General features: G+C 60.8%; 1 pseudogene across 1 annotated transcript in view; it reads left to right on the forward strand.

The window, feature by feature from the left end:
• Positions 1–11525, forward strand: part of SSPOP (SCO-spondin, pseudogene) — a 57924-nt pseudogene extending 46399 nt beyond the window's left edge. Inside the window, exons 86-103 of the transcript NR_163594.1 lie at positions 72–239; positions 912–1042; positions 1284–1408; positions 1646–1692; positions 1954–2232; positions 2525–2684; positions 2835–2951; positions 3360–3498; positions 3635–3837; positions 4010–4137; positions 4239–4381; positions 4473–4519; positions 5329–5545; positions 6198–6293; positions 6496–6556; positions 8695–8825; positions 10328–10478; positions 11367–11525. The product of NR_163594.1 is annotated as an SCO-spondin, pseudogene (transcript). The remainder of the gene's footprint in view (positions 1–71; positions 240–911; positions 1043–1283; positions 1409–1645; positions 1693–1953; positions 2233–2524; positions 2685–2834; positions 2952–3359; positions 3499–3634; positions 3838–4009; positions 4138–4238; positions 4382–4472; positions 4520–5328; positions 5546–6197; positions 6294–6495; positions 6557–8694; positions 8826–10327; positions 10479–11366) is intronic.

A 12009-nucleotide genomic window follows, 5' to 3' on the forward strand; every position in this document is an offset into this window, starting at 1 on the left:
CTCGGCAGGGCTGGGGTGAGAGGGAGGGCAGGCAGGGGAGAGGTGGGCTGACACACCCCTCCGGTCCCTAGAGGAGTGTGTGTGGAGCAGCTGGAGCAGCTGGACGCGCTGCTCTTGCCGGGTGCTGGTGCAGCAGCGCTACCGACACCAGGGCCCGGCGTCCCGAGGGGCCAGGGCAGGCGCCCCCTGCACGCGGCTGGATGGCCACTTCCGGCCTTGCCTTATCAGCAACTGCTCTGGTGAGGCTCCAGCAGCAAGTTAACCAGGGAGCTGCGCAGGGCAGCAGCCACCAAGGGTCCCTGCTGGAACTCCCTGCTCCCCTCCCCTCACAGCCAATGTAGTGCCCCAAGACCTCAGAGCAGCTGCCTGCGCCCGTGCCTGCCCTCAAACCCAGCTGCTCCCCTGCTCCCCCCAGATACTCCCTCATCACAGCTGCGACCCCAATCCCTCACCACAATTTGTCCACCCTGCAGCTGCCGGCCCGCCTGTGGCTTTGGCCCATGTAGCTGCCCTCTAGGAGGGTGTCTTACCCAGCTCCTGCTGCGGCTGCCCTCCATCTCTGCCCCTCTGTCTCCCATCTCTGCCCCTCTGTCTCCCATCTGCCAATTTCTGGAGCACCTGCCAAGGCCCCTCACTCCTGCAGCCCCCTCCTCAGCTGCCTCCTCCAGGCATCTTCCTGGCTCTCCAAGGCCCAACCCATCCTGATCCTTCCCTGGAGGTGCCCACAGGTGCTGAGTGGATGCCAGATGGGGGATACTGGTCTGTTCCAACTTGCGGAGGGTGGGCATCTTGTACTCTCACCAGGTGACCCCAAGGGCCTCAGTAGAGCCACGCGGCATGTGCTCTGGGCTTTGGGAGTGATGTCTCTGGGCTGTTCCCCCACAAGCCTGCCTCTCCCCCATCTCCCCCAGAGGACAGCTGCACGCCTCCCTTTGAGTTCCATGCCTGCGGCTCCCCCTGTGCTGGGCTCTGTGCCACACACCTGAGCCATCAGCTCTGCCAGGACCTGCCACCCTGCCAGCCGGGCTGCTACTGCCCCAAGGTGAGAGCTGGGAGCTGGAGCAACTTCCAAGGAGAAGGGGGTCTTCTGCCCACACTCCTGCTCCTCCTTCTTTCTGTGATGTCCATGGCGGCCCCACCTCCTTCAAACCCCTTGGAACTCGGTGCCTCCTCCCAGCTTGCCATTCACTCGGCATCATGCATATGCACCTGCTGCAGGCGGGGCACAGTGCTGGGTGCTGGGATGACACGATGATCACTGCCCCATCTCTCCTTCCACCCAGGGGCTGCTGGAGCAGGCTGGGGGCTGCATTCCCCCAGAGGAGTGTAACTGCTGGCATACCTCAGCAGCAGGAGCCGGGATGACCCTGGCCCCTGGGGACCGCCTGCAGCTGGGCTGTAAGGAGTGGTGAGTGATGGTGGAAGGGAGACAGAGGGCTGGGGCCAGGGAATAGGGCAGGGAGGCCTGGGGGGCCCAGTCCAGCCTCAGGACAGAGGACCCTGAGATGCTAGAGTTTGCAGCTCCCTCATCTTGCCCCAAATGTGCCTAGGGGTCAGGTTACCCTTGCATGACCACCCCCACCCCCCGGAGGTCCTGGACTGGGTCCTGCCTCCCTTAGTCTACCCTGACTACCCCCTCCCACAGTGAATGCCGGCGTGGGGAGCTGCACTGCACCAGCCAGGGCTGTCAAGGTAACCCTGACCTATGGAGACAACAGTCCCCATTGCTTGGGACTGGGGGAGTTTCTGGGATGCAGAACTTTCAGTGCTAAGACGGGGACAGTCCCAGGCAAACTGGGATGGTGGGTCACCTTACCCTGCCCCCACACCACCCTCAGCCTTTCTGTTTCCAGCACTTCCTGGTCATGACCCTGAGCCCCTCCTGCCTGTCCACCAGGGTCTCTGGGCCCAGGGGTGGTCACTGGGAAGGGCACCCACACCCTGTCCTTCCAGGTCTTCTGCCTCTGAGTGAGTGGTCCGAGTGGTCGCCCTGTGGGCCCTGCCTGCCGCCCAGCGCCCTGGCCCCTGCCTCCAGGACTGCCCTAGAGGAGCACTGGCTCCGAGACCCAACTGGCCTCTCCCCCACCTTGGCCCCGCTGCTGGCTTCAGAGCAGCACCGCCACCGGCTCTGTCTGGATCCTGCGACAGGGAGGCCCTGGACTGGAGCCCCTCACCTCTGCACCGCACCCCTCAGCCAGCAGCGCCTCTGCCCTGACCCTGGAGCCTGCCCTGGTAATGGGGAGAGGCAGAGGCCAGGGGACAGGACGGGCCTGGAGTGCAGGTTGGGGGGACCTGGCCGGGAGGGGCTAGGCTATAGAGCACATTGACCTGCTACCCCTCCTGCTTGTCTCTAAGGCCTGCAGGATTTGAAGCTGGGGGTGGGGTCCAGGCAGCAGCTAGAAAGAGAAGCGGGAGAGCCTAGAGGGCTTTAAGGCCTGCCGGAGCGTTTGCGACGACAGAGCTCAAGGCTTGAGGGGGAGGCAAGAGGTGGGCCTGGGTACTGACTCCATCATACCTTCCCCAGACTCATGCCAGTGGAGTCTGTGGGGGCCATGGAGCCCCTGCCAGGTGCCCTGCAGTGGGGGGTTCAGGCTACGCTGGAGAGAGGCAGAGGCCCTCTGTGGAGGAGGCTGCCGGGAGCCATGGGCTCAAGACAGAAAGCTGCAACGGAGGGCCCTGCCCAGGTAACTCCCATCCCCGATCCAGAGGAGAGCCTGGGACAGGAACATCTGAGACCAAACCTGAGGGGAGAGTTGGCTCTGCCCCAGAGCCGTGCAGTGGAAGCGGGGGCCCAAGAGCGTCCCCAACACAGACTCCTATCATCTGGTCGTCAGGTTAGAGCTGCGAGGCCCAAGACACTGTATTCACCCTGGACTGTGCCAACCAGTGCCCACACAGCTGTGCCGACCTCTGGGACCGCGTTCAGTGTCTGCAGGGACCCTGCCGCCCAGGTAGCCAGCAGGCCCCACCACCTAGCTGGGAGTTCCAGGAAAGCCTGGGCCTCCCCCAGCTGCCTCCTGCTCCCAGAGAGTGTGTGATCTCGGGCAGGGGTGGGGGAGGTTCAGACTGCTGGGTCATGAGTGACAGGGCAGGAAAGTGGTCACTTTCAGCAGCCAGCTCTGAGTCCTGCAAGGAGTGAGGGTCACTCAGGGCCACTGTTCCATGTGGATGCTCAGGTGGCTGTCAGGGTTACTCGGGTGGTGCCCACACAGGCTAGAGCAGCCCGTTCCTGTGCATGGGCAGTGGGAGATACTGTGGAAACTAGGCTTTGGACTCGATCTGATTGCTGGGGGAGGATCCATTGTGTGAGCCCTGCCCGAGCACCCAATCTTGTTCCGCCTCTTTACCCACACCCCTAGGCTGCCGCTGTCCCCCTGGCCAGCTGGTCCAGGATGGGCGCTGTGTGCCGATCTCCTCTTGCCGCTGTGGCCTCCCCAGTGCCAATGCCTCTTGGGAGCTGGCCCCGGCCCAGGCGGTGCAGCTGGACTGCCAAAACTGGTATGGCTGCAGCCACGCCAGGGCTAAGGGAGCTTTGGGTGGAGGCATGGGGCAGGTCAGCCTTCGTCAGCATTGTTGGGGAGTGAGGGTTCTGTTCACCCTGACTGGAGCCCTTTGTGCTTACCCCTGTCCACAGCACCTGTGTCAACGAGTCCCTGGTGTGCCCACACCAGGAGTGTCCAGTCCTTGGGCCTTGGTCAGCCTGGAGCAGTTGCTCGGCCCCCTGTGGTGGGGGCACTATGGAGCGACATCGGACTTGTGAGGGGGGTCCTGGGGTGGCACCATGCCAGGCCCAGGACACAGAGCAACGGCAGGAGTGTAACCTGCAGCCCTGCCCTGGTAAGTGCCCTGGGCGGCAGGTGACTGACTCCCTCCATTGCTGCTGAGCCCAGGCCCTGCCCCAGCTGTGGGGGGTAGGTGTGGGGAGAGGAGGTCGGACCCAGGGCAGCTCCCTCCCTGGGACTGGAGATGCTGGGTCCCTCCCATCTCCCTACCTGTGTGCTCCCCACAGAGTGCCCCCCTGGCCAGGTGCTTAGTGCCTGTGCCACCTCATGCCCGTGCCTCTGCTGGCATCTGCAGCCTGGTGCCATCTGTGTGCAGGAGCCCTGCCAGCCTGGCTGTGGCTGCCCTGGAGGGCAGGTGGGTACGGGGTGCTGTGTCCTGACTCCCTGTGGGGGAAGCCGGCAGGTGGGGAGGGAAGAGGCGGTGGTCTGAGTGTCACTGAGCCTGCCCTGCTGCAGCTGCTGCACAATGGCACGTGTGTGCCTCCCACTGCCTGCCCCTGCACCCAGCATTCTCTGCCCTGGGGCCTCACCCTGACCCTGGAAGAGCAGGCCCAGGAGCTGCCCCCAGGGACTGTGCTCACCCGGAACTGCACCCGCTGGTGAGGGCCTGGCCCTGGGGTGGGGAGCAGGGATGAGGAAGGGTAGGGAGGAGGACATGGGAGGCATCTGAGTGTGCTTCTGTCTTCTCAGTGTCTGCCACGGTGGAGCCTTCAGCTGCTCCCTCGTTGACTGTCAGGGTGAGATGTGGCTGTCCATGCCCTGCTGCACCTCCAAAGTCAAGGCCCGGGACTGGCACTGAGGAGGAGAGACGGGCCCTGCTCACAGACTAGACAGAGCTTCAGAAAGCCCTCCCCTGTCTGTCCACACTGACCTCTCTCTAACTGGAGACCCAGCACCCCCTGCCGAGGGCTCCCTGGGCACTCAGTGTGGTCTGCCCCACTTGTGGGGGCATTCCCTAGCACACAGTATACACAGAGCCAGGGCTGTGATGCCAGGAAGTGGAAGGTTCTTTCCCTGCCAGTGAGGAAACTGAGGTCTGGAGGGGTGAGCGGAAATGAGGGGCCTGGCCTGGCAGCCCCCGGGCTGATAGCATTTGCCCTGTGGGGTGCAGTGTTACCCCCATCTGATCAAGACCAAGGGCCCACCCACCGTGTTCCCAGCTCTGCCACGCTGGGCTCTGTGAATGCAGACATGCAGCATGGCCAGCCTCCGGGCAGACCACCCACCCCCAGAACAGGCAGAGACAGGGCACAGTCTCTAGGTCTCTGACAGGCAGGTAGAACCCCAGAGGGTGAGACATCAGTGCTGAGAATAGAGGCCGAGTGGACAGGATTGGTCAGGGAGCCTTTTCTGGAGGAGGTGAGACCTGGCCTGGGTCCAGCTAGTGTTTGGGTGGGTGGATAAGAAAGATCAGGAGGTGTGGTTGGAGGCTGCTGTGGCTGAGAAGGCAAGATGGGGACGTGTGGGTGCTCAGCTTGGGAGGGGAGGAATCGAGGCTGGATCCAGGGCTGACCTGAAAGCTGGGTTGGATGGTCTTCCCTGGCAGAGTGCCCCCTGGGGAAACGTGGCAGCAGGTGGCCCCGGGGGAGCTGGGGCTCTGCGAGCAGACGTGCCTGGAGATGAACGCCACAAAGACCCAGAGTAACTGCAGTTCAGCTCGAGCCTCGGGCTGCGTGTGCCAGCCCGGGCACTTCCGCAGCCAGGCAGGCCCCTGCGTCCCCGAAGACCACTGCGAGTGCTGGCACCTTGGGCGTCCCCACCTGGTGAGACACCGAACCCCCTCTGCTACCACTCACCCATTCCTGACCCCAAGCCTCCCCATCTGTCTGTAACTCCACTGGCTCCTCCCCCTACTCCAGGCCCTGCAGCAGCCGGCAGGGCTCCGCTCTCCCCCTGGGACAGTCTCTGGCCCCAACAGTTCATCTCCTTCCTGGGTCTCTTGTTGCCTGACTCCATCCAAGCCCATTGCCCCGGCTAGGCACTCACAGGCTGGGCTTGGGGATCAGGGATACTATTATAGAAAAGTCTGCAAGTTGGAGCCGGGCACGGTGGCTCATGCCTGTAATCCCAGCACTTTGGGAGGCTGAGGTAGGCGGATCATGAGGTCGAGAGATCAAGACCATCCTGGCCAACATGGTGAAACCCCATCTCTACTAAAAATACAAACATTAGCTGAGAGTGCTGGTGCGTGCCTGTAGTCCCAGCTACTCGGGAGGCTGAGGCGGGAGAATCACTTGAACTGGGGAGGTGGAGGTTGCAGTGAGCCGAGATTGTGCCACTGCACTCCAGCCTGGCGACAGAGTGAGACTCCGTCTCAAAAAACAAAACAAAACAATACAAAACAAAACAAAACAAAACAAAACAAATCTGCAAGTTGGGAGAGACCAAGAGGAGGCTCTCCCCTACTCTCCCCAGCCTGGATCTGAATGGCAGGAGGCCTGTGAGAGCTGCCTCTGCCTCAGTGGGAGGCCTGTCTGCACCCAGCACTGCTCCCCACTCACCTGTGCTCAGGTACGCCCTGCATCCCTGCTACTCTCCGGGGTGGTTCCCCCCTTACCTGGGCTCCGGTACCCCCTGCAGCCCTACCACCCTCCCTGGTTCCTCGGGCTCCTTCCTGGGACCCTCCTCCGAGGTTGGTCTTAGGGTCTCTGAGTGGGGAGGGCGGGCCGGGCTCCAGGTGTCAAGACCACCTTGGGACTCTCTCCCTCTGCAGGGCGAGGAGATGGTGCTGGAGCCAGGGAGCTGCTGTCCCTCTTGCCGCAGGGAGGCTCCGGGTATGGAGGGAACCTGGGTGCATTGTGGGGTGCCTCTCCCTGGTCTAGACCCTTCTCCCCTGCCACCCCACACCTGGCCTTTGCAGCCTGGCAGCTGCCTGACTCCCCCAGGCCAACCCACCATGGGGATTTGAGGAGTGAAGACCCCAGCACATATCATAGCGCCTGGTCACCTCGCCCCACACGCTTCCCTCAGACCCAGGCCCTGCCCCTCTTCCCACAGTCCCCTCAGTCCCCTCCTCCTCCTGTGCTCTGTCCCCCCCCCCACAGTCTCCTCAGTCATCCCCTCCTCCTGTGTCCCCTCCACAGTCCCCTCAGTCATCCCCTCCTCCTCCTGTGCTCTGTCCCCCCCACAGTCCCCTCTGCCATCTCCTCCTCCTGTGTCCTCTACAGTCCCCTTAGTCCCCTCCTCCTCCTGTGTCCCCCTCCACAGTCCCTCAGTCACCTCCTCCTGTGCCTTCCCGCACAGTCCCCTCAGTCACCTCCTCCTCTGTCCCCCCCACAGTCCCCTCAGTCCCCTCCTCCTCCTGTGCTGTCCCCCACAGTCCCCTCCATCATCCCCTCCACCTGTGTCCCCTCCACAGTCCCCTCAGTCCCCTCCACCTCCTGTGTCCTCCCACAGTCCCCTCAGTCCCCTCCTCCTGTGTCCTCCCACAGTCTCCTCAGTCATCCCCTCCTCCTGTGTCCCCTCAGTCATCCCCTCCTCCTGTGTCCCCTCCACAGTCCCCGCAGTCATCCCCTCCTCCTGTGTCCTCCTCCACAGTCTCCTCAGTCCCCTCCTCCTGTGTCCCCCCCACAGTCCCCTCAGTCACCTCCTCCTCCTGTGCCCTCCCCCACAGTCCCCTCCATCATCCCCTCCTCCTGTGTCCCCCCCACAGTCCCCTCAGTCACCTCCTCCTCTGTCCCCCCGCACAGTCCCCTCAGTCACCTCCTCCTCCTGTGCCTTCCCGCACAGTCCCCTCAGTCACCTCCTCCTCTGTCCCCCCACAGTCCCCTCAGTCCCCTCCTCCTCCTGTGCTGTCCCCCACAGTCCCCTCCATCATCCCCTCCACCTGTGTCCCCTCCACAGTCCCCTCAGTCCCCTCCACCTCCTATGTCCTCCCACAGTCCCCTCAGTCCCCTCCTCCTGTGTCCTCCCACAGTCTCCTCAGTCATCCCCTCCTCCTGTGTCCCCTCCACAGTCCCCTCAGTCATCCCCTCCTCCTGTGTCCCCTCCACAGTCCCCTCAGTCCCCTCCTCCTCCTGTGTCCTCCCACAGTCCCCTCAGTCCCCTCCTCCTGTGTCCTCCCACAGTCTCCTCAGTCATCCCCTCCTCCTGTGTCCCCTCCACAGTCCCCTTAGTCACCTCCTCCTCCTGTGCCTTCCCGCACAGTCCCCTCAGTCACCTCCTCCTCTGTCCCCCCCCACAGTCCCCTCAGTCACCTCCTCCTCCTGTGCCCTCCACAACAGTCCCCTCAGTCATCCCCTCCTCCTGTGTCCTCCTCCACAGTCCTCTCAGTCATCTCCTCCTCCTGTGTCCTCCCACAACAGTCCCCTCAGTCATCCCCTCCTCCTGTGTCCCCTCCACAGTCCCCTCCTCCTCTGTCCCCCCCACAGTCCCCAGTCCCCTCCTCCTCCTGTGCCTCCCCTCCACAGTCCCCTCAGTCACCTCCTCCTCCTGTGTCCTCCCACAACAGTCCCCTCAGTCATCCCCTCCTCCTGTGTCCTCCCACAGTCCCCTCAGTCACCTCCTCCTCCTGTGCCGTCCCCCACAGTCCCCTCAGTCACCTCCTTCTCCTGTGCCTCCCCTCCACAGTCCCCTCAGTCACCTCCTCCTGTGTCCTTCCACAGTCTCCTCTGTCACCTCCTCCTCCTGTGCCTCCCCTCCACAGTCCCCTCAGTCATCCCCTCCTCCTGTGTCCTCCCACAGTCCCCTCAGTCACCTCCTCCTCCTATGCCTCCCCTCCACAGTCCCCTCTGTCACCTCCTTCTCCTGTGCCCTCCCCACAGTCTCCTCTGTCACCTCCTCCTCCTGTTTCCCCCTGCATTCCCCCTGTCACCTCGTTCTCCTGTGCCTCCCCACCCCCACAGTCCCCTCAGTCACCTCTGCCTCCTGTGCCCCACCCCCACCTCCTGCCACTCAATGCCCCTCCCCACAGAGGAGCAGTCGCCCTCCTGCCAGCTCCTCACGGAGCTTCGAAACTTCACCAAAGGGACCTGTTACCTGGACCAGGTAGAAGTGAGCTACTGCAGTGGGTACTGCCCATCCAGCACCCATGTCATGCCAGAGGTGAGCCAGGGACCTGCTGTCCAGGCCAGGGGAATCACGTTGGCCAGTGGCCACCGAGGGCTGCCCTGAGCCTGGGACCTGGGCAGAACCAGAGTCCATGAGGCACAAGGTGCTTCTGATGGAGATAACAGTGGAGTTGGGGAGGCAGATGGTCAGAGCTTTCCCCAAGGCAGTGGTGTGCACCTGCAGGTTGGCCCAGAGGTTTCACTGGGTGCCTGACCCCCTCCCACAGAGGTCTTCTGTGGCCCCACACCATTCCCAGAGTGTGCCCGCTGTGCCCTTCAAGGCAATGAGCCAGGAGCCCAGCAAAGAAAGGCATGGAGGAGCTAAGCTAGCCTCTGACATCAGAACCCATCACACGGTGCATGAGAGCATGAGAGCTCTGCCGGAATGCACTTTCTACAGAGAGGATCACCGCACACATTTCCTGCAAGCTGTCCGAGCCAGGCTGGCTCTGAGTCTTGGGCAGGTGGCTCCGCTCTGCGTTTGCCCTCTGTGGACCCAGAAGCCCCTGATCCTTCTTAGGATCTTCCAAGGGGCTCTGTGCCCACCCTGACTCCCCTCAGCCTGATGAGCTGTAACCTGAGCTGCCTCCTGCCAGGGTCCTCTCTCCAGCTTCACTCACACTACTCCTGCCTGCCCCTAGGCCCACCTCCCAGCACTCTGCGGCCATCCCTTCTGCTTCAGCCTACCTGGTTTACCTCATCCTGGAAGACAAGGATACTTTCCTACCTGGTCCCCAAAGACACAGCCCCTCAACCCTCGGCCGCTCTACGGCTCCCCCAGGCGCGCCCTGGACCTCCTGGAAATACTTTCCCAAATCACTTTCGGAATTTTTTTTCACACTTTTAGAATTTTTAAAACATAGAGTGAGAAAAGAGAGAAAGTAATTAAGAGATGCTTTTTTTTTTTTCCTGAGGAAAGAAATTGATAGTGGGATACAAATTGGAGGGAAATTTTTTCGCTGAAAAACCTCTTGCAGTTTTTGAACCTGGCATTGTATGAATGTACTACCCATTTAAAAGTAAAATTATAAATAGAATTATACATAAAATTAAATGATATGCTTATAGGACTCTGATATAGGTGCTTTAACCACAGTGCACAGGGATCTGCTTTGGAGTGAAAACTCACTTTGCACTTGGGATCAGAACTATGCAGTTAGAACTGACTTATTTGTAGTTTCATAGATTATAACTCTGTCTGTCCAACTAGACTCTAAGCCCCTTGCGGTAGAAGTATGTCCTTCCCCCTGCAGCCAGGAGGCACTGATGGGAACGTTAAAAGTATTCGTTTAACCTGTAGGTTGTTGGACATTCAGACAGTGGGGGTGAAGGAGGTGGGCTTCTTGCAAAAGGGGCTTGGCAGTGGCCCAGCCACCCTGCTCAGTGAAGAGGGTGGGATCTGGCCCTCCCACCATCCCACCCTGCCTAAGATGGGAAAGGCCAAGGGAGGGGAGGAAACTCCATTTGGCCCTAGTTCACCCGCTCCCTCTCGCCCAGGAGCCATACCTGCAGAGCCAGTGTGACTGCTGCAGCTACCGTCTAGACCCGGAGAGCCCTGTGCGGATCCTGAACCTGCGCTGTCTGGGTGGCCACACAGAGCCCGTGGTGCTGCCGGTCATCCACAGCTGCCAGTGCAGCTCCTGCCAGGGTGGGTCTGGGCAGGGAGGGGACGGGGCAGGAGCCTGGGCAAGGACCCAGTGTTGTGAACCAGACCCAGGAACACACGTGTAGCTCCTCACTCCATCCTTCTTCCTTGAGTCCTTCCAGTCCACGTTTTTCCTTCTTCTCGGTGTTCTTGTTAATTTCATCTCCTATCATGCATACTTGTGGGTGTCTGGGGTAGTTGCACCTAGTTCAAACCCCAGCTCATCTGTTTCCTTTGTTTCCTTGCTCAGCCTCCCTGACATCATCTTTTTTTTTTTTTTTTTTTGTGATGGGGTCTCACTCTGTCACCCAGGCTGGAGTGCAGTGGTGTGATCTCGGCTCACTGCAGCCTGGAACTCCTGGTCTCAGGTGATCCTTCCGCCTCAGCCTCCTGAGTAGCCGGGACCACAGGTCACAGGTGTGAGCCACCATGCCGGGCTAATTTTTCTTTTCCTTTTTTTTTTTTTTTTTTTTTTCTGTAGGGACGGGGTTTCGCCATGTTGCCCAGGCTGTTCTTGAACTCCTGGGCTCGAGTGATCCACCTGCCTCAGCCTCCCAATGCGCTGGGGTTACAGGCAGGAACCACTGCACCCAGCCCCCTGACCTCATCTTTTAAGCAAGGCTGACATTGCTATGCAGGCTTGTTGGGTGGACTTGGTGAGGGCACGCGTGTGAAGTGGCTGGCAGGTGCCTAGTTCTGTTAAGCACCTGCCATATGATAACCTGAGGTCCCACTGTGTGGCAGATGAAGGGGAAACAGAGGTGGAAGGCACCCGTGCCACCTGGGTGGAGCACAGTGGAAGGCCTGGTGTTGGCTCTGGGCGTCCTCCTGGCACCAGCCTGACCACTCTGCCTCTCTTACTAACCCATCTCTCCCTCACGTGTCCCCTAGGAGGTGACTTCTCAAAGCGCTAACAGGCTCCGCTGGGTGAGTCCACAGCTGTCCCTCTTGTGATCATGGGACTCAGCAGCACTGACCACGTCCTTCCACGCTCTCTCACCTGCCCCCAACTGGGGGCCCATGACTTGGCATTAGCATGTTCCAAATAAAGTGATACTGGCAACAAATCCCTGTGCAGCGTCTCCATCCTGGGGCTCGAGGGAAGAGGGAGGGAGGGCCTGAGTCCTGGCCTGGACCCATGTGAGGACTTTGTCTCCTGGAGACCTCTGCGCATCTACTATGGACTCAAGATGGCATTCCCCATGACTGGTGAACCTGGACAAATCATTCCCATATCTGAGCCTCAGTTCCATCTGTAGCTGGACAGGGTTGAATGGAGCCTGAAGACCTCCTGTTATTAGACACCGCTGTGTCCCAGGTCATATTCCTCCACCCAATATGATTTCAGCTGCAGCTGTGGAGGACAGTCCGCTACATGTGGGCTGATGTCTGCTTCTCCCTCTCCTTTTTATAACCTCGTTTTTTACAACACTACTCTGCCCACCTCCCAATTGCTTTCCTTGTTTTATTCACCCCAAAGTCCTATCCTACCCTGTGAAGCCAGAGATAGCTAGCTAGAAGCACACTATTGAGC

The sequence above is a fragment of the Homo sapiens genome, chromosome 7 (genome assembly GCF_000001405.40).
Source record: "Homo sapiens chromosome 7, GRCh38.p14 Primary Assembly".
In the NCBI taxonomy this organism is placed as follows: domain Eukaryota; kingdom Metazoa; phylum Chordata; class Mammalia; order Primates; family Hominidae; genus Homo; species Homo sapiens.